The 21259-nt window shown below is 51.1% G+C and overlaps 1 protein-coding gene across 4 annotated transcripts in view, besides 2 other annotated features; it reads right to left on the reverse strand.

Moving 5' to 3' along the window:
- Nucleotides 1-21259, reverse strand: part of ADAMTS2 (ADAM metallopeptidase with thrombospondin type 1 motif 2) — a 234609-nt gene that overhangs the window by 114405 nt on the left and 98945 nt on the right. The gene's annotated exons all lie outside the window — the stretch shown is intronic.
- Nucleotides 8490-9150: an enhancer, noted in NCBI's record as "H3K4me1 hESC enhancer chr5:178660748-178661408 (GRCh37/hg19 assembly coordinates)". NCBI's record gives its function as "activates a minimal SCP1, AML or CMV promoter by ChIP-STARR-seq in primed H9 embryonic stem cells {active_cell/tissue: H9 hESC(primed)}" and the evidence as "EXISTENCE:reporter gene assay evidence [ECO:0000049][PMID:30033119]".
- Nucleotides 9151-9809: an enhancer, noted in NCBI's record as "H3K4me1 hESC enhancer chr5:178661409-178662067 (GRCh37/hg19 assembly coordinates)". NCBI's record gives its function as "activates a minimal SCP1, AML or CMV promoter by ChIP-STARR-seq in primed H9 embryonic stem cells {active_cell/tissue: H9 hESC(primed)}" and the evidence as "EXISTENCE:reporter gene assay evidence [ECO:0000049][PMID:30033119]".

Below are 21259 nucleotides of genomic sequence, written 5' to 3' on the forward strand. Positions count from 1 at the left end.
TAAAGCGCTCTTACAAATCAACAGGAAACAATCCAGCAATCCAAAAGGGAAATGGACAAACGGTATTGATACAAAAGTGCTGGGTAGAGAAGGGCATGCTCCCTTTAAATGATATGGAAGCAGGGAAGTGCATGGTCCCTGGCTAAGGGCTCCACCCTCACGGACCTATGTGAGGACAGGCACTCTTGCCTTTGTGCCCAAATGTCACATTTCCCAAGACCACCCTGGTCCACCATGTCCCCATCCTGTGCCTATAAAAACCCGAGACCCTAACAGGCAGACACAGGCGGCTGGACGTCGAGAGGAGCGCATGAGGGGAGGAACACACAGGCGGCTGGACGTCGAGAGGAACGCACCAACGAGCACCAGCACGCTGCAGGCCACCGACCGGCAGAAGCAGAACGACACGGAGTTTGGCCGGGGCAGTCAGAGGAGAGCCCAGGCTGCTTAGCGGCCCGACTCCAGGGAAAGCCCTTTGCACCCCATCCTCCTTCTGGCTTCCCCCATCTGCTGAGAGCTACTTCCACTCAATAAAACCTCGCACTCATTCTCCAAGCCCACGTGTGATCTGATTCTTCCAGGACATCAAGGAAGAACCCGAGATACAGAAAGCCCTCTGTCCTTGCGACAAGGTAGAGGGTCTAACTGAGCTGGTTAACACAAGCCGCCTACAGACAGCTAAAGTAAAAGAGCACATGCAGCACACGCCCACTGGGGCTTCAGGGGCTGCAAACATTCACCCCTAGACACTGCTGTGGGGTCGGAGCCCCACAGCCTGCCCGTCTGTATTCTCCCCCAGAGGTTTGAGCAGAGGGACACTGAAGAAGGAAGCCACACCCCCATAGCACGCCCTGCGAGGAGGACAAGAGAACTTCTCTCATTTCAATATGAGGGGACAATTGTCAGAAAAGAAAAGACAGCAGCTTTTCTTTTCTTCTTTATCTCTTTCTTTCTTTCCCTTCCTTCTTTCCTTCCTTCCTTCCTTTCTTTCTTTCTTCTCTTTCTTCTTTCCTTCTTTCTTTTTTTTTTTTGAGACAGAGTCTCTGTCACCCAGGCTGGAGTACAGTGGCGTGATCTCAGCTCACTGCAACCACCGCCTCCCGGATTCAAGCAGTTTTCCTGCCTCAGCCTTCCAAGCAGCTGGGATTACAGGTGCCTGCTATCATACCTGGTTAATTTTTTTTTTTTTTTGTATTTTTAGTAGAGACAGGATTTCACCATGTTAGCCAGGCTGGTTTCAAACTCCTGACCTCAGGTGATCCATCCACCCTGGCCTCCCACAGTGTTGGTATTACGGGTATGAGCCACCGAGCAGCTTTTCAGTGTATGAGAAGACGCTCGACCTCACCCTTAATTAAAGAAACAACCTGCATCAGATTGTCCAAATAAAAATGTACGGATCAGGGGTACATGCTGAGAGAAACGGATCCAGCCAACCATCCTAGGGTTGTGGTCATCCTTATCAAAGTTGAAAATGCACAAACCTTTTGAATCCACAATTCTAGTTATCAAATTTAATCCTACAAATGTCCTCATACAAGTAGCCAAGGAAATAAGTGTAAGGATATCCACGGCTGCATTATAAGAAACGGTGAAAAGAAGTAACGTCCCCATCAGTCAAGGTCTGGTTAAGCAAGTGATTCACAGGATGGAATGCCTGAGCAGGAGGAATGGGCAGGTCTGGAGGGGCTGCTGTGGACGACGTCCAAGACATGTTCCCTGATAATCGCAAATGCAGGGTAGCACACGGTGTAGTCTACAGTGTGCAGGAAAAAGTCAGAAAAACGAAAACACAGTATCTACAGGACACAAAATCCCTTGAGCCAGAGATTCTAATCCTAGGATTTATATATGTGTGTGTACACATGTGTATATATATATACTTGTGTGTGCACAGGACATCCTGAAAGGACACAGAAGAAAGGTGTGCAGTGGCTGCCCTGCAGAAAGGAGCTGAGTTCCAGGACAGCCAATGGGAGGGGGATGAGGACAGCAATGAGCATTTCATATGGCTGCAATCCTTAGTCCAGCCAAAAAGCAAGCCACGCACATGCAGGAGAGGCCAGGACTCTCCCAGCAGCTCCCCCAGGGGTCAGGGGCAGAGGGAGCCCCCAGCCTGGCCTGCTCCCTGACGACTCTACACTTGGCAGCTGAAGGGGGCCACCCTGACAGTCAAGGCCCAGCTGTGATCTGGGGTGGAACTGGTCTGGCACCGATCTGCTTGGCCTGGCTCTGGGTGCTGGCACGGCAGTATCTGGTGGGCTGCAGGGCCCCCAGCTGGGGCCCTTTGAGTGATGATGAGCCTGCTGGGCTGGGACCACAGAGTGAGCAGGACCAGCATCCCCTCAACCCCAGATGCCCTCTAGGACTGCAGGGCCCAGACACAGAGAGGGAACCTGACGCTCATGGGGAGGGCTGAGAGGCAGGCAGAGGGGGAAGGGTGTTCCTGACCACGGCCCACAGGACCAGCAGTGCAGAGGGCCTGGGAGTGAGGGAAGCCCCTGCTGTGCCAAGGAGGGAGGGCCAGGAGAGGAGAGATGGCCGAGGCCGGGAGGAGGGCAGAAGTGCAGAGAGACTAGAGGGGGCAGGGCAGCCCTGGCTTGGGGCTGGAGAGGGAGCCAGGAAGGAGGGTGGAAGGCAGGGGAGGCAGCGTGTGGACAAAGACTGAGAGGGGGAGTCACAGCTTGGGTGCAGAAAGTGGGGCCAGGGAGGATTCCGGGTTTCTGACCTGGGCAACCGGTCACCCTGGGAAGCCTTCCCTGCAAGGGACCCTCGGGAGGAGCCGCGTGGGAGGAGGAGAAGGCCGTGTGGGGCGTGTTGGGCTGAGATTTCTGTGGGGACACAAGGACAGACACCCATGAGACACTCAGGCAGGAGTGGTCTGGAGCACAGAGAGAGGGTGGGCCGGAGGCCCCAGGTGTGGGCGGCCTCCAGGATGAATCAGCTGCAGAGCACCGCAGTGGCGCACACAGATCAGTGTCCTGATCTGAAAAGTAGGCATAACGATGCTGGCCACAGCCCACAAGTAAGACACATAGAAAACCTGAGGCCCACAGAGGTGACAGGAACGGGCCAGGTGCACGGACAGGGCTGTTCCTGACTCAGCTCACTCCACCAGAACCCAGTCTGGGCACCAGCCTGTTTTCTTGTCCTCTCCAGCCAGCAGGGCAGAATTGGGGGTGGACTTGCCCCAGCCTGAAGACCTCCGGGGCCCTGGCTCCTCCCTGCTCCACCTGCCATAGCCCAAAACCAGTGTGGGTGTGAAGCGGAAGGAGACTCTGCAGCAAGGCCCAGCTCTTATGCCGGCCACTGCCTTGCCTCCTGCCTGATGCAGTCTCTCGGCAGCAAGGCAGGTGCCCTGAGACCTGGAGGTGCCCCCAGCCCCAGAACCCACCATGCGCGGCTGGGCCGACTGTGCCTGCCCTTAAGGCAGGCAGAACACTAACCAAAGCCAGCGGACATCCACTGCCTGCGGAGCATCTGGGGAAGGCTCCTGTGGGGCTCCAGACCCGGGGCGGTGCCTTCACCACGGCCTCCTCATCCAGCATCCACAACTCTGGAGCTAGGAAGCCCGGTGCTCCTTCCCAGAGGAGGGAGCCGAAGCTCTGCCAGTCTGCACTGAAGTCTGTGGTGTGCGGTCACCTGAGAACAGCTCAGTCAGTCTGGCTGGATCCTGAGCTCCTCCCCCGGCCTGTGCTTGAGAGGTGACAGCCAGCACGTGAGCAAGTGCCCTGGGTTCTGGTCCCAGCAAAGCTACCTCCAGCTGTGCACCTCGGTCAGGCACCTCCAGCTGTGCACCTCGGTCAGGCCACCCTCTCTCCGTCAGACCCTCAGTGTCCTGATCAGTGTCCACAAGTAAGACACATAGAAAACCTGAGGCCCAGAGAAGCCAAGGAAGTCCTTACAGGCTTCTGTCAGAGAATCGGAGGAAAGGAGGGGACGCCAGAGAATCTGGGCTTAAGTGACTTGGCCGTGATCAAAACACAGGCAGAGTCACAAACACGAGACCCCGCTGCCCACTCCCGACGGAGAGGTAATTCCACAAACACGAGACCCCGCTGCCCACTCCACAAACATGAGACCCCGCTGCCCACTCCCGACGGAGAGGTAATTCCACAAACACGAGACCCCGCTGCCCACTCCACAAACACGAGACCCCGCTGCCCACTCCCGACGGAGAGGTAATTCCACAAACACGAGACCCTGCTGCCCACTCCACAAACATGAGACCCCGCTGCCCATTCCCGACGGAGAGGTAATTCCAGGTCAGTGGCATCCAGCCTTCCCCGGCCCCCAGGCCCCCAGCTGCCACCAAGAAACACTCTTTGTAGGGGTCCTGCCCCACTGGGGTGCAGAGGTACATCCCCCAAGGCCCAGCCCCGCAGGAAGCCCTTCCTCTGCAGCCATTCTTGAAATCACCTCCAAGAAAAAAGAAATGCTTCAGCTTCCAAAGATATCCCCAGGCAGGAAATGGGCCGCAGGCAGCATGAATGTTTAATTACGTTAATTGTCCAAGTCCAGCGCACATCATCCCTCCTAAGTACCTTATGGGAAATCGTAATTAGGCGTGAAATGGCTCATTTTCACAACTCCCCTTTCTCGGGGTTCTCCAGGGCGCATGCCCCTGTCAGCTGGCCGGACAGGCCTCTCTTGCCAAGGCTTACCCTCCTTGGTTCTAATTTAATTTTGTGACCTTTTCTCTCGACATCCTGACCCCGTACATCCCTGCGCCTTGGCACACTGCACCAAAGCACCATAGAATTACTGAGCTATAAGCCTCTCATGGAAATCTGTTTTTGACTTTGTTAGAAAACACTATAATCAAATCCCTGAGAGTCAGGAGGGATGGGCTTGGCCTGCCAGAGGAAACATATCACCGGATTAAGTGATTTAGCAGAGGTGGTCCCGGCGGGAGGAGGGCAGGGCAGGCTGGGCAGGGCTGGGCGTGAGGTGGGCAGGCAGGGTGCCCTCGGGGGCAAGGGGGGAGGGGATGCGCAGAGGCAGAGGATGGGCAATGTGGGATTACCAGAAAGTGCGGTCTGGACATCCCAGGGCCTGCAGGCTTCCTGAGTGCCTACCTGGCCCTGGGCACTCACAGGGCATTGATGCCGAGATGCTCAGCTGTGCAGAGGGTGTGCAGGTCTGGTGGTCACTTATGCGCTCCAGGGCCTGCTTCTGCTGATGCCAGGGCAAGACCCAGCCTCAAACACACATCAAATACATACGCTTGACGTTATGCCCGGGAGGGCTGTGCACACAGGCACACAGAGACGGTGAGACTTGGGGATACTTGGGTCCAGTTACTGTCACCTTGGGTCTCACTTCTGGGAGCGTGGATTTGGCTGGCACCACTGCACTGCGGTGTGTCTGCGTCTATACAGACTTCCTCCATTTCACGCATGTACCTAAAACATACCACCATTCATGTACTGTCAGGCACTCTTTCATTTTGTAAAACAATAGGGTTATCAAGGCCTGCGCAGTGGCTCATGCTTCTAATCCCAGCACTTTGGGAGGCCGAGGCAGGCGGATTGCCTGAGGTCAGGAGTTCGAGACCAGGCTGGCCAACATGGTGAAACCCCATTTCTACTAAAAATACAAAAATTAGCCGGGCATGGTGGTGGGCGCCTGTAATTGCAGCTACTCAGGAGGCTGAGGCAGGAGAATGGCTTGAACCCGGGAGGCGGAGGTTGCAGTGAGCCGAGATCGTGCCACTGCACTCCAGCCTGGGCAACAGAGCGAAACTCAGTCTCAAAAAAAAAAAGCCGGGGGGGCTACCAAAAGATGAGAGGGACCCAGGCCTGTATTGCACATCCACATCAGTGACAGTGTAATGGTACGCAGACCCCCTCCCCACATGCACACGCATTCTGAAATAAGCCAGGCCCAGAAGGACAAATACGGCACTCGTCCACTCACATGAGGATCTGTAATCAAACGCATGAAAGCAGATGACACCATAGAGGCTGCCAGAGCTGGGGGAGCGGGAAATGGGGAGTTGCTGTTCAATGGGTGTAAAGTTTTAGTGATGCTGGACGAGTAAGTACTAGAGGTCTGCTGTACAACGTTGTGCCTGTAGCTGACCATGTGGCACTGTGCACTTCGAAATTCTCTGAGAGGTCTGAGCTCACGTTAAGTGTTCTTTCCACAAAAGCAAACAACAACAGCAACAGAAATGAAGGGACAGAAGGAAACCGTGGGAGAAGACGAGTGTCTACCGCCTCGATGTGCTGATGGCGTCCCGGTGTCTGCACAAATCCACACTTGCTGAACTGTAAGGGGCCGGTGACCTCTACAGTCGCCTACCATGGCGAGCATAAACTTGCAGAGAAGAGGATGAGAATTCTGATAATAGGACAAATCAAAGCTTAACAAGTAATTAAAGGACAAATTGGTGCATATAACAAGTCGTTCCCTGTCTCGCAGCTGACATGGATCAATGTCCAAAATTTTTATCCAAATTGTTATAAATACACATGAGAGTCTTCTCGGTGCAGTGAATAGTGAAGTCAGCAGAGGCAGTGGCTCACCCCTGCAGTCTCAGCACTTTAGGAGGCCGAGGGGGTAGGATCACTTGAGTACCAGAGTTAGAGGCTGCAGTGAGCCATGATTGTGCCACTGCACTCCAGCTGGGGCCACAGAGCGAGACCCTGTCTCTAGGAAAAAAAAAAAGAAAAAAGAAAAAGAAAAAAAAAAAGAGGAAATTAGCCAATATCCCAGAGAGTGAAGGCAGAACCCGTATCAGCTTTTGCCAAAAATGAGAACTCCACAGTTGCCTCCGCATTCTGTCTTTTAAAAAGTGTCAATTTTACATTATGAAATAGAGTGCATCTTTTTAAAGTAAAATCGATGCTCCAGGAAGATATTCCACGTTTATCCTGGACTTTGGTGCCCTCTCGACACTTGGTTTTGATTAAATTAATCCAAACTCCAGTTTGCTAAGCCAGTGCACCTGTGTGCGGCTGTTACATTGCACCAATGTTTTATCAAATCTCCGACTATGCCCAAGTGCGGCGCCATGGAAGCCACACGGGATCCCTGACAGACAGAAACATCCATACTGCTCTTAAGGTGGCTCAGGCACTGTTCCAAGCACCTCGTCTATAGTTGCCCACTGATTCTTCGCAGCAGCTGTGTGAGTTAGCTGTGATGCTTATCTTCATTCTGCAGATGGGGAAACTGAGAAAGGCTATCCCAATTTCACACTGCTCGGAAGTGTCAGAACCAGGATATGAACCCTGGCATGGCTACCAAGAGTCTGTGCTCTTGAACGCTGTGCTAGGCCACTCCTTCTGGGGCTGTTACATTTTAACTCTGACATGTCAAGCAAATCACTATAAGTTTATTGAGTCATTTCTTAGCTGCTTCATCTGTAAAGTCGGGTGACAATGGCTGCAGGTCCTGCCACTCAGACGATTCCCACGCGTGTCTGCATCAGGATGAGGATGAGTAGATCGGTAAAGTGCCTTGTAGACTGTGATGATCATATTTTTGTCTTTGATTCCACTGCCAGCACAATACCTTTTTTTTTTTAATAAAGGGCTGTTGAACTGCAATTCCCATGTTTGTATACATTCTTCTTCTGTTTCTTTGGTTAAAGTTTCAAGATTCTCTTAGGGTTCAAATGTTTAAATTTCAAATCCTTTGGCTCATCTGACTAATTACAAGCATAAAATATGGCATTTCCAACAAGTCTGGAGAATGGAAGCACATGAAATTATGCACGACCATGAGCATCTGTGTCGGGAGGCGGGAAGGCGTTCACCCTTCAAACTCAAGTGAAAAAGGTTTGCCGTAGTTAAAGGCTGCTGACAAATAACTACTGTTCTGAGAAATCACCACTGTTTACTGGGAGAATCGTTTTTCAGCAAATATATCAAGAAAAGTAAATATCAAGTATAATTTGCAGAGTTGCAGATAACTCCACATTTTGGAATAAAAAACTTCTGTGTCTGTGTACAAGTGTGCAAAACACAGCAGAGACATTTTTCTTTCCAATCCTGCCTAAATACTGACTGAACATCATCAGTGCCATCTCCCATGACTGTGACAGTGTATCTTGTGTGTATGTGTTGTATCATATTATCTGCTTTGTTAAATGCTATGCTTGTTAAAATGTGTCACATTAAAAAACAAAAACAGCCCGGGCATGGTGGCTCACGCCTGTAATCCCAGCACTTTGAAAGGCTGAGGGTGGGGGAGGGTGGATCACGAGGTCAGGAGTTCAAGACCAGCCTGGCCAACATGGCAAAACCCTGTCTCCTCTAAAAAATACAAAAATTAGCCAGGCGTGTTGGCAGGCACCTGTAATCCCAGCTACTCGGGAGGCTGGAGGCAGGAGAATCGCTTGAACCCGGAGGGAGAGGTTGCGGTGAGAGGAGATTGTACCATTGCACTCCAGCCTGAGTGATAGAGTGAGACTCCGTTTCAAAACAAAACAAAATGAACAAACAAACAAAACAAACAAAAACAAAAAAACAGAAACACACACTACACTGACTACACTGAAGCCCTCAAGCCGCTGAGCAGCCATCTCCAGGTCCCCAAGGACCAGGCACCAAGGTCTGGGGGTGGCCCAGCATCCATTCTCCCCTTTCTCAGAGCAGCAGCCCAGTGTTATTTCCTGGAATTCCTGGAACCCTGCATGCACACAGCCCTCCCCAAGCCAAACATCCTCTCCCTCACAGAGTGTGGGATTTGAGCCGCAGGAGCCAGAAGAGGAAAAGGTAGTGGTGTCACTAAACACCTGGTCACAATGGTTAAGACCCTCCTGTGTCCAGGACCCCGACTGCCAGGCCCTTCCACAGCCCGACTCCCCGTGGACTCTGCAGGTTTCCTAATGTCCTCCCAGTAACTCTTCCTGGCTCAGGGCAGCTGGACTTCATGCAAGCTCTCTGCCAGAAGAGACCCTCTCCTGCCACAGGCGCCCTCCCCATCAGATGCCAGAGATATCACCAGCCCTCGAGGCTTAACCCCTGCTCTGTGGGGGATTCCTGCTGCTCTGCCTGAATTCACCCAGGTGGGCAGTCCTCAGGTGACTTCTCCAGCTCTGCATGGAGAAGGCCTCACCATGCATCTCAGAGAGAAGTGGAGGCTGCACCCCCACAGGAAGTGGGGCCCAGTCCACCGTGCCCTGGACGCTGCTCATCCACTAGGACTGGGCTTCCGTGTGCAGGGCTTCACCCTCGCTCTCCTCTCTGCCTGCTCCACACCTGCTGCTTTGACCTCCATGACCATGGACCTGCTGACAGGTGCCCCCCGACCCACCTCCAGCCTGCACCTCCCCAGGCTCCAGACCCCGCCCCCTGCTGCCTGCAACTGCCCCTGGGGTGTCACAAGGCACCTTCATGCCAACAAGTCCCAAACAAACCTGTCACCTTTCCCTACCCCAACCCATCAGCCATTGCTGCTGTGCCCATCTCATCTCCACATCCAAGGAGTCACCGCATCCTGGCACCTTCCCCATCTCCCCGTCCATGATGAGCTCAGCCCCTCCCTCTACCTGGATGCAGCAGCCTCCTCCCAGACCTGGCCCCATCCGCTGCTGCTCCCTGCCCTTCACTCCCTGTAGCTCGAGTCCTCACCTGAGCTTGCCCCCATTAAAATCCTCTGTACCTCCCTCTTCCCAAGCCTAGCAGACCCGTGCGGGAGTGCGAGCACACTGGCTAGGGCCTCCTGATGGGCCTGACCTGCCTGCCAACCCTCCCAGGGACCTGCTCATGTTCCCGCAACGCCCTTACAGCCATGGGTCCGAGAAAACACTGCTCACTCTGCCCAGAATGCCTGCCCTGCCCTTTCTGGCAGACTCCTATTCAGTCTTCAAAACCCAGCTCCCAGCTCGTTAGGCCCGCAAAGAGAGCAAGTTACTCTCTCTCCTAGACTCAAGCACCCTGTGCTTCCTTCTTTTAAACCACTGATCATGCAGAAGTATAAGCTCACCAGTTTCCAAGTCCCCTAACCAGACCATGAGCTCCAGGGGTAAAATCATGCATCAGATTCATCTCTGGGTCACCTGCCTTGGCTGAGAGGAGGCTCATGAAGGTTTGGCACAATGGGATGAAGGAATAGACAAGGAGCAAGAATACGAGCTCATCCTCATGCCTCAGAATAGCATGAAATGCTCAGGGTGTGTGGGACAGAACTGACGCCTTCACACCAATGGAGCCAGATGCCAGCCTATGTGTGTCCAAGTCCTACCAAGTCCCAGGCTGCATGGAAATCAGAGGGACCCCAAATCGAATGAGCGAGGGGCCCTTAAAGAAACTCACCTGGCCCCTTTGTCTCAGGTCCTAGGGGTTGGTGCTGCCAGGAACTCTCATAGGAGAGGGCCTTGTTCCCACCTAGTCCCAAGCATCTGAGCAGGGCCAACGAAAGTGCTGGTAGGCCAGGCCTTGCCCTGGAGAGGAAGGGCAGAGAGGAAGGAGAGGGGAAGCGGGGTGGACCACCTCTGCTCAGACCAAAGGCAGAATCCAGTGCTGATGGTTGCCAATAGGGTCCTCTCTGTTGCTGGGCCCCCATGAACCATGTGAGCCCTGCACAGAGCTCCTGCTAGATCCTGGGGGTCTCCCTGCACTGGGATTGCTCCAACAGTGCCCCCACCCTCAGGGCATGGGTTGCCCTCTGCATCTGGCCAAGTGCCTTCCCAGACACCCTGCAGCCTCAGCCTCCTGTGACCACTCATGTCCACCTAGCCTGGTCCTGGTCCCAGGTGCCCTCCTGGTCTAGCTGCCACTAAACAGATGAGAAGCTCCCTCCCATCCCAGCCCTGAAATATGCTCAGCCTCAAAGCCTCTTGGCACATCTCAGCTTCCAGATGTCCTGTGCCTTGTGAGATATTAACCACACTCTGCCTAGCCCTCTGCCATGAGGTCAGCTCCGCTCCCAGGCAGGGGGAAGAGCTGCCTTGGGAGCAATGATGGGCATCGTCCCTCTGTGCTGTGTTTGGGGTCTTCCCTCCCTCCAAGTCTTGGACTTTGGGCCCAGAAATCACTTTCCCTCCCTCCTCTCTGAGCACACAAAGGGCAGGACTTGTCTTCAGGTGCTTGGGGAAGAGGGACGCCAATTGTTCCAGCCACTCCCGTAAGGGTGAACCAGGAGACTAACCATCAAATTCACCAGGAAATCCCAACCTCCAGGCCCTGACTGAGGCACTAAGACCCAAGCAAGCAATATCAATGAAAGCCAGAGGTGCTTAAGGTGGGGAACAAGAATGAGCTGTCAGAGGCCTCTGATAAAGAATCGTTTAAAAAGACTTTCTTTGCTGCGGCTCATGCCTGTAATCCCAGCCCTTTGGAAGTCTGAGGCGGTAGGATCACTTGAGGTCAAGAATTCAAGAGCAGCCTGGGCAATATGGTAAAACCCTGTCTCCATACACATAAAAAAAATTAGCCAAACGTAATGGGGTGCACCTGCAGTCCCAGCTACTCGGGAGGCTGAGGTGGGAGGACTGACTGACCCTGAGAGGTTGAGGCTGCAGTAAGCCGAGTCCATGCTGCTGCACTTCAGCCTGGGTGACAAAGCAAGACCTGGTTTCAGAAAAAAGAATTTCCCCCTTCGATGTATGCTATGGACTGAATATTTGTACCCCCAAAATTCATATGTTGAAACCTAATCCCCAGAGGGATGATTTTAGGAGGTGGGGCCTTTGGGGGGTAATTAGGTCATGAGGGTGGGGCCTCATGAATGGGATTAGTGCCCTTATCAAAGAAGCCCCATGGCCAGGTGCAGTGGCTTACACCAGTAATCTCAGCACTTTGGGGGGTTGAGACGGGAGGATAGCTTGAGCACAGAAGTACAAGACCAGCTTGGTTAACACAGCAAGCCCTCATCACTACAAAAACTAAAAATAAAAAAAAATATGTTGCATGTGGTGGCTCACATCTCTAGCCCCAGCTACGTGAGAGGCTGAGGCAGGAGGATCGCTTGATCCCAGGAGTTCAAGGACACAGTGAGCTAGGATCGTGCCACTGCACTCCAGCCTAGGTGATGAGTGAGACTCTGTCTCTAAACATTTTTTTAAATTAAAAATGTAGAAATAACATAAAAGAGGCCCCAGAGAGCTCTCTTGCCCCTTGCAATGCATGAAGACAAAGTGCAAGAAGGTGCCATGTGTGAACCAGAAGGTAGGCCCTCAGCAGACACAAAATCTGCCAGCACTTTGATCTTGGACTTCCCAGCCTCCAGAACCATGAGAAAGAAATAAACACTATGTAAGCCACCTGGTGTTGGGGGTGCTTTTTGTGGTAGCAGCCTCTACTGACTAAGACAGTGTCACTTCAGCTACTCTCAAGAAAGGCTTCGTCACCTGGATCCAGTCGCGTCAGTTAAGCGGTGCTGCCCAGCTCTGGGAGGCTGGGGGAGATGAGGCGATGTGTGATTCTCAAGGTCAGCATGTTGGAAAGTCTAGCAGGGTTTAATGAGGACGGAATTAAAGGAGACGGGGCCTGATGAGGGGCTCTGGGCCTCTCTGTGTCCCTGTCTGCTTTGTCTGGAAAATGGTGAAAGGAAGGAGGCATCTTGGAGCATCTGTGTCCTCTGGTTTTCCTTGATCCCTGGATTCACCAGGACACAAAAACCCAGTGCTTCTTGTACTGCAAGGTGCTTGAGAAAGGAAGAGCAAACCCACAAGCTGAAGAGTCCCAGGCAGCCATCGCTCCCGACACGCACGCCGCAGTGTAGCTGTGGCTCCTGAGAACGGCGGTGTTAAAGGACAGTTACTTAACCAGAACTTGGGGTCCCCCTGCCCCGCCCCACGGAGGCCTTGAACATCCTACAATAAACACACACCGAAGCCATGTTCTTGGAGAGACTTTGGGGAGGCTGTGCACTCTGGAAACAGCCAAGCTGTTCTGTGGCTTGGAAGAAACAAGCAGTTCCATCCACTCTGGGCTCACAGATATTCCTCCTGAGCTTGAAGGAAGCCACAGCGGAACTTGGAGCTGCTCTAGTTCTCTGGAACATGCAGCAGGTGGAACCGCAGACGTCTCTCCAGGGAGCTGAGTCCCGGTTTTCACCTGCTGGGTGTCCACGGATTCACCCCCAGCTACTGTGTAGGGGCCAGCTCCCCTCAGGGACTGCTCCTGGGAGACCGTGGGAGTCACCGCAGCTCCCTGCTCTGTGGAGCGGCCACGCTAGCAGAAGGAACAGAGGGTGCCAGTGCTCTGAGTATGCCGGAGGGCAGTGAGTGCTGCGGGAAGGGGCTGGAGGGCACAGGGTCTGCGAGTGCCAGGGCAGGTGGTGCGGGGGGAGCTGTCTACAAAGCCTTAGAGCGCCAGGGTAGGTCCCACTGGAAGGGAACATGCAAGCAAAGACTCGAATGAGGTGGGAGGGTGAGCTGAGGGTGTCTAGAAAGGGCATCCAGGCGGAAGGAGGACCCCATGTGGGGTTTTGAAAAGAAGGGCAAGGAGGCCCAGGATGGCAGGAATCAAGTGAGTGAGAAGGAAAATGGAGGCCACGGGGTCCCAGGGCGAGGCGCTGGGTCGTGTGGGGTCTGGTAGGTGGCCCGGGTGCTGGGTGCTGACTTCTGAGCTGAACGAAGCAGGAGCCACTGTGGGATTTCCAGCAGAAGACAGACATGATCCAGCAGAAGGCATCAAAGGATCCCTGACCACGGACCGCCCCAGGACCCTTCCACCATAGTGCAGGATTCCTCTTACAGGAAATGCCCCAGTAGGCAGATCTAGAGAGGCAGGAAGTGGATGAATGGTTGCCTGGAAGGTGGTGGGGGAGGAAGGACGACAGCTAAGGGGTGTGGGGTCTTTGGGGAGGGAGAAGATGTTGTGAATATAATAAAAACCATTGAATCGTACACTTTAAATGGGTGACCTGTATAGTATGTGAATTATATCTCAATAAAGCTGTTAGAGAAAAGAATCCCTGCTGCTGTGTTGAGGACACATGGGGGTGGGGAGGCAGGGAGGTCTGCTGGGGGCTCCCAAAGTCATCAGAAGAGGACAAAGGCTTGACGCAAGTGACAACCGTGGAGATGGTGAGAAGTGATCAGGGTCGGGGTGGATTTTGAAAGAAAACCTAAAAAGATTTCTCAACAGGTTTCTCATCAGTGTGAGAGGAAGAGAGGGGTCAACCCTAACTGCAGAGCTTTGGCTGTGCAAATGGAAGGAAGGATCAGCCGTGCACAGAGCTGGGGAAGGCCGAGGGTGGAGTGCGGAGAGGGTGAGCGCGAGTTCAGTGAGGGGCGTGCTGAGGTGGTACTTCCAAATTGAGGTTGGCAAGTAGAGAAATGCCTTGGAACTTGGATTTGAAGAGTGCAGAGACAGATGAGGTGCAGATTCTGCTGGAGTCAGGAGCGTGGGCAATACAGAGAGCATGGAAGGTGGAGGGGCAGTTGGAATATGAGTCTTGGGTGCAGGAGAGAGATCTGGGCTGGAGACGCAAATCTGGGAGCCATTTCATGGTACATAAAGCAACAAGAGGAATGAGATCGCCCACAGAGGGGTGCAGAGGGAGACCAAGGAGCGTCCAGGACAGAGCCCTGGGCGCATCAACCCCAGAGGGTGCGGGAAGAGGAAGGATCAGCAAAGGAAACGGGGATGAACTGTGAGTGCTGTGATTAGACCAAGAAAGTGGGTGTCCGGTAAGCCACACCAAGGGAGCAGGAGGGACTAGCCTGCCACGTGCTAGGGATGGCGACTGAGGATTGGCAGGGAGATGCAGCAGCATGATGACCTCGGGGAGGGTGCCTCTGGCAGAGTGGCACACACAGAGGCCTGGTCCAAGTGGGGTTAAGACACAGTGAGAGGAGAGGAATCGAAGATGGCGTCTCCACCTAGGGGGTGCTGCTGAGAGAGCAAAAAGCTGGGAGAGTAGGTGACAGACGAGGGAAGCCGTCAGGTGTGAATGCGGATAGGGAGCAGATGTTGGAGGTGTTCAGAGGACGGAAGATATGAAAAGTCATCTGGAAGGAGGCAAACAGACTGAGGGGAGCAGTCTGGCTGCTAGCGGCACCTTGCTGGTGAACATCATCGTAAGCAAGAGCAGAAGCAGGGCTGAGCTTTGTTCAGGGGTACCCGTGCCAGCATGAAGTAGGTAGAAAGTTTCATTTTACCAGGACTAGGGCATTGTTCAGTAGATGTTACAAAGCAAGAGTGACTCCAATGAGGGAACCTGCAGTTTAAGAGAAGGAGGCTGGGTAAGGGGTGGAGGGAAGGATCAGTGGTGTGAGAGACCGTGACAAGGCGGCAGCATCAATGGCCTGCAGGTTTGCTGGAGCACAGGTCGGAGCAAAAGGGAACCGGGAAAATAGAAGGTCATCAGAATGCAACACTGCAACGGATTATGCAGGTATAGGGGCCGCTGGCAAAAGAAGGTTTAAGGTATGACCAAGGCCAAATCCAGTGGGGAGTCCTTTTTGGAAACCTTGACAGCTGTGGTCATGGTCGACCTCATGGGAAATTTTGCAAACTTGATCCTGTGTCAAATGAGTTCCCGTGACGCGTGTCAGTGCGTGTGGATCTTGCTGTTTGGGGGAGGGCAGAAACTCTGCAGACCCCATGCCTTGCCACCCTCGACCCTGATACGCGATGCCAATAGACACACTGCTGCGGAAACCATAAACGTCACCAGATTCAGAGCTTGAGCCCACCTCTCCCAGAGGTTTTGTCCGGTAAAGGGAAGAGGAACAGGGTTCAACTCTCCTGGCAGAACTCTATGGATGCCGCAGAAGACAACGTTAATGAGCTTGGCTTAACTTACAAGGGATTTCCGGTCTTGTGAAAGAGGAGGAAACTCAAATCTCAGGAGAGTTTAATGGCAGGAGTGAGCTTGAGTGTTGGTTTCCCTAATAGATGGGTTTAGCTGCATGGGTGAGGTAGACCAAGGCCCTCTGTAGAATATGCTGGAGAACAATGATTCAAGACTACAAAGAAACTGAAGTGTGAGCGGAAGATAGGAGTGAACCTTCGAGAACCGGAGGCCATGCCACTGCCTTGTTTCGGGTGGAGGAACAAAGCCTTGTCACTGTGTTGCCAGGGACAGAGTGCAAGGTGCCTGGAAGCTCCTCGGGAACGTTAGCTGTGTCCCTCATCGCAGGCAATGGGACCCTGCACCAGTGGCCAGTACCTGCTGCCCCAGCCAGCCTCTGTGAGGCACACACTGCCAGAGATGACCTCACGCTGGTGGAAAACGAGGAGACAGCAGATCAACCCAGCCGGGCTTCCACGTCCAGCAAAACGAGGCGAGTTCGGGTTGTTATTCTGCTCTTTCATGAGTCAGGGCTTTGGGCCTCACTGCCTTCCAAACAGAGTCAAAATCAATTTGACGTTCAAAACGACATGAAAATTGCCATGTCAAAGGCCATTCTGTAATTTCAGTGTATTAAAATCAAAAGAGCACAGCCTTCTTGAAGAAGTTTCCTTTGGGCAGAATTCAAGTTTCCTCTTTCTTTTACTTGTGCAATTTGAATTTATTTCACTTTTTCAGGAAGTGACCATTTTTGCAGGAAAAGTGTAGTCAAAAGAGATAATGCACATGAAGTTTCTTTTTAAGTTCTGAGTATGTCGAAGAGATTTACAGTGCATTAAAATAAACTATAGGCAAAATAGTGTGTGTACCTATCTCTACGCATTTTTTAAAAGGGGCAAGTGGGGGACCATCTTGTTGATTTTTCACACCAGTAGCCCCTTTCCGCCAGCGGGAAGGGCCTTGCCCCACCCAATGTGTCTCTGGTGGATGGGTAATTCATGCCCATGCTACTCCCCAGTGGCTGTGGTGGGGGGGCACATAGCCCACACCTGGTACTCAATGCCCTCAGCACAGTGATTGGTCCAGGGGGTGAACACATGACTGGAGTGAGACTAATCATGGGTCTTCCATGAGATCTGAACATTGGGAGAAAAAAATATTCCCTTCCTGGCTCAGTAAGCTCACAGCGTAGGCCTGGGGCTGCGTATGTGAAGAGCCAATCTGAGAAGGAAGTCTCTGCAGAAGAGAGCCAAGTCCTAGGAGGAGGAGAGACGCTGAGCCTTGGCAGCCTCGTGTGGGCCAGCGGTGCCTGCTGTCTTGCTCGCGTGTGCCAGCAAATCTCCTTTTCTTGGCTTAATTGGATTTGGATCTCTAATTATACCTTGAATGACCCTGACATATCCAGTGTCTTCTACCTTCCTTATTGCTGTGGCCCTTTAAAAAAAGATTAGGAATCATCTGCCATGAGAATTCCACTTCTGGAATGGTGGTGAGAGGAGCCCCATGGACACATTCCCCTCAGAACAACCATAACTGGTGAAAAGTATTGAAAAGTCACCATCAACAACAATTTAAAGTCTCTAGAAATTATCCTAAGAGCACACAACAAACTAAGCAACATCATCTATTCAAGAAAATCAACCAAATCTTGGGAAGAAAAATCCCAGTAAGAACAGCAAGAATCGGTGGCACCTGAGCCATCACTTGCTCTCTCTTCCCCGCTTCTAGTCCTTCCAGTTCAGCTTATGGGGAGTTCCACTCTGGGGGTGTGTGGCCAAGAACACAGGGCTCCCTCTTCCCTCAGATCCCAGTCAAGGAATACAGTATTTCACCAGGATAGATGGGCCACCAGCGTTTCTCATCATCTCCAACTCCCAGTGACAGAGGGTAACTCCCTGCTGAGTGTGACCGAAAGGCCGGAGCACCTTCCTCCACCCAGCCCTAACTCAGGGCAGGAGCTCCGTCTCAGGTGCAGCAGGGCGAGAGTGCTGGGCTCCTAATCACCCTAAGTCCAGCCTGCTTGCTAGAAAAATATTCCATGCTAGGGGGAGGCAAACCAAGAAGATCAGAGGCTACCTCCTGCCCAATACCTGGAGTGGTGGCTTCAGTGAAGATTCTGGCGGCAAGAATTTAAGAGGAGGCTGACAGCTCTATGAGAACAACAACCTGAACCACAGACCAGCTTATTTACTGGAAAAAAAAAAAAAAAATCAGGAGAACAGATCGTTATGAGGATCTCTTCCAGGGGGAGAATGAATTTCAAAGACTGGCCTCAAAATCATCCCTACCCAAATTTAATTGGATCAAACTATGTGACAATTTATGTCTCAGGACATTGTTGAAAATAATAGAGCAATCATCCCTCAATTAGTGAAGCCTAGTAGCTGGGTGTGATACCAAATGAAGCAGAGAGTGTAACAGACAGATCAGAGAAAGGGACAGTCATAGGGAGCCCTGCTGAAATCACTGTCATCCCGGGATGACCCTGCACACGCTCAAGGCTGTGCCCTCCAACAGCTGAGGCTTCCCACTGTGAAGAATACAGACTTTGTGAAAACAGTCTAACCAAATCAGGAAACAAATAAATACACAAACAACTGCAAACAGCCTCAGAGATGGGGGAGGGGAATCAGTATGCAGAGCTGCCACATGACCCAAAATGTCCAGTTTCACACAACAGAAACACAAATGACTCATTCACAGAAAAAAAGGCGGCAACAGACACTGCTGGTAAGAAAGCCCAGATGTCAGATGTAACAGCTGTCAGATTTTGCAGCAAAGATTTCAAAGCAGCCATTGGAAATATGTCTTTGAAAAAAGGAAACCATGCTTATGTAAAGGAGTGATGATGACAATATCTCATCAAATAAAGACTATCAATAAAGAGAAATTATAAACAAGAACCAAATGGAAATTCTGGAGTTGAAAAGCACCATAACTGAGAGGCTTAACAGTAGATTGGAACTGGCAGAAGAAAGAATCTTGAAAACAGATCAATAGACATTATGCAATTTGAAGGACACAGGGAAAAAAGAATGAAGAAAAGTAAACGGAACTTAAGAAAAATGTGGAAACCATAAAGGGCATGAACATATGCACAATGGGAGTCCCAGAAAGAGGCAAGTGAGTATAAAGGAGCAGAAAAGATGGAAGAAACAGTGGCAAAAAGCTCCCTAAATTTGGTGAAAACATTAACCTACGTGTCCGAGAAACTCAGCAAACTTCAAACGGGATAAATGCCAAGAGATCCACACCCAGAGACATCATAGTAAAAATGCCGAAAGCCAAAGACAAAGAGAAAATTCTGAAAGCAGCAAAAGAAAAATGACTTGCCACATATGTGGGAATCCCAGTGGGATTTCCAGCCGACTTCTCCTAATAATGGAAGCCAGAAGGCAGCAGAATGGCATATCCAATGTAAAAAAGCTGTCAACCAAGAATCTTTCTCCAGCAGAACTATTTTTCAAAATTAAGGTGCAATATAGACAGTCCCAGATAAGTAAAAACAGAGAATTATGAGTAGACCCATTTTATCAGACATACTAAAGGAAGTTCTTCAAGCTGAAAGCAAGTGACCTCAGTTGGTAACTTGAATTCACACCCACACACATACAGTACCAGTAAAGGTAATCACGCAACTTTAAAAGACAATATAAATGGGTATTTCTTCTCTTTTCTTCCCTTAACTGGCTTAAAAAGCAATAATATAGAAGAAGATGTATATAATTGTATTATTGGGCCCATATAATATATAAATGTAATATATTTGACTAACAGCACAAAGCAGGTGAACAGAAACACAGCTACTGGAGTAAAAAAATGACACCAGATGGGAACTTGAATCCACCGCAACAAATGAAGAGAGCCAGAAATGGTCAACAGGAAGGCAAACTGTTGATATATATGTACTCTCCTCTCTTTTTTCAGCTTCTTTAAGCATGAAATTATATAAAGCAATAATTACAACAATTGTTAGGTTTGTAGCATATATAGCTGTGTGGTAGGCAGAACTGTGGCCCTCCAAAGATGTTCACATTCTAATCCCCAGAACCTATCTATCTGTAAGGTTATATGTAAAGGAAAATTAACATTGTAAATCAGATGACTTTAAAATATTGAAATTATCCTGGATTAGCCAGATGGGCCCAGTGTAATCACAAGGGTCCATAGAGGGGGAAGGGGGAAGCAGAAGAGAGAAACTGGAGGGATGGCTGCACGGGAAGGACTTGGCCTGATGTTGCTGGCATAAAAGACGAAGGACAGAAGTCATGAGCCAAGGAATGCAGGTGGCCTCCAGAAACTGGAAAGGGCAAGGAAACAGATCCTCCCCGGAGGAGGACCCAGAAGGAACAAAACCCTGCCAAAACCCTGATTTAAACTCAGTGAGACTCATTTCAGACTCTGACTTCCAAAACTGCAAAATAATACCATTGCATTATTTAAGCCACTAAATTTGTGGTAATTTGTTACCGCAGCAATCAAAAACCAACACAAGTTGCACAGCAAGAACAGTACAAAGATGGGGGTGGGCCGGGCGCGGTGGCTCACGCCTGTAATCCCAGCACTTTGGGAGGCCGAGGCAGGCGGATCACGAGGTCAGGAGATCGAGACCATCCTGGCTAACACGGTGAAACCCCGTCTCTACTAAAAATACAAAAAATTAGCCGGGCGTGGTAGCGGGCGCCTGTAGTCCCAGCTACTCGGGAGGCTGAGGCAGGAGAATGGCGTGAACCCGGGAGGCGGAGCTTGCAGTGAGCCGAGATCGCGCCACTGCACTCCAGCCTGGGCGACAGAGCGAGACTCCGTCTCAAAAAAAAAAAAAAAAAAAAAAAAAAAAAACAAAAAAAACAAAGATGGGGGTGGAAGAATAGAGCTATATAAGAGTAATGTTTCTATAGCTCACAGGAATTAAGTTAATATAAATCTAAAGATTCTGATAAGATGCATACGACAAGGGAGAGGACATCACCAAAGTGACAGAATAGAGGACTCCAAAATTCTGCCCCTCCACAAAAACAGGAAATAAGCTAGTAAATCTCAGAATCGACTTTTTTGGAACTCCAGAATTTAACCAGAAACCTACAACAACCAGGGAATGCTTAATGAAGAAAGCAGCTACTGAATTTTGGTGACAGTGGGTTATGGTGTTTTAATTTACTTGCTTACCATTATCTTATTCTCCAACTCAGCAGTGGCCATGAAGATGGCAGACCACATTCCTGGTGTAGGTTGCTGATACCAACCTACACATCCAAGGAGCTCAATGACTCCCAGTTTGAAAACTCAAAAGAAAGAAATATGGACCTTATATCCAGAGAATTGTGGTTGTGGGTTTTAACCCATCTGCTGGCTTGCCTTTGTTTCAACTGTCTCGGAGCTTCCCCAGGACTGAAGTGGTTTCCCAGACAGTGTTTGTCAAAAGTATTTAAAGGTAAATGTATTAGCTGCAGACACCTGGGGCACAGGACAATAGTTGGGGCAAGACGCACAATAAACATATCTAAAGGCTTGGGGAGGAAGAGGGTAGGGAAGGAGATATTTGAGGAAATAAGGTTTTTGG

The sequence above is a fragment of the Homo sapiens genome, chromosome 5 (assembly GCF_000001405.40).
Source record: "Homo sapiens chromosome 5, GRCh38.p14 Primary Assembly".
In the NCBI taxonomy this organism is placed as follows: domain Eukaryota; kingdom Metazoa; phylum Chordata; class Mammalia; order Primates; family Hominidae; genus Homo; species Homo sapiens.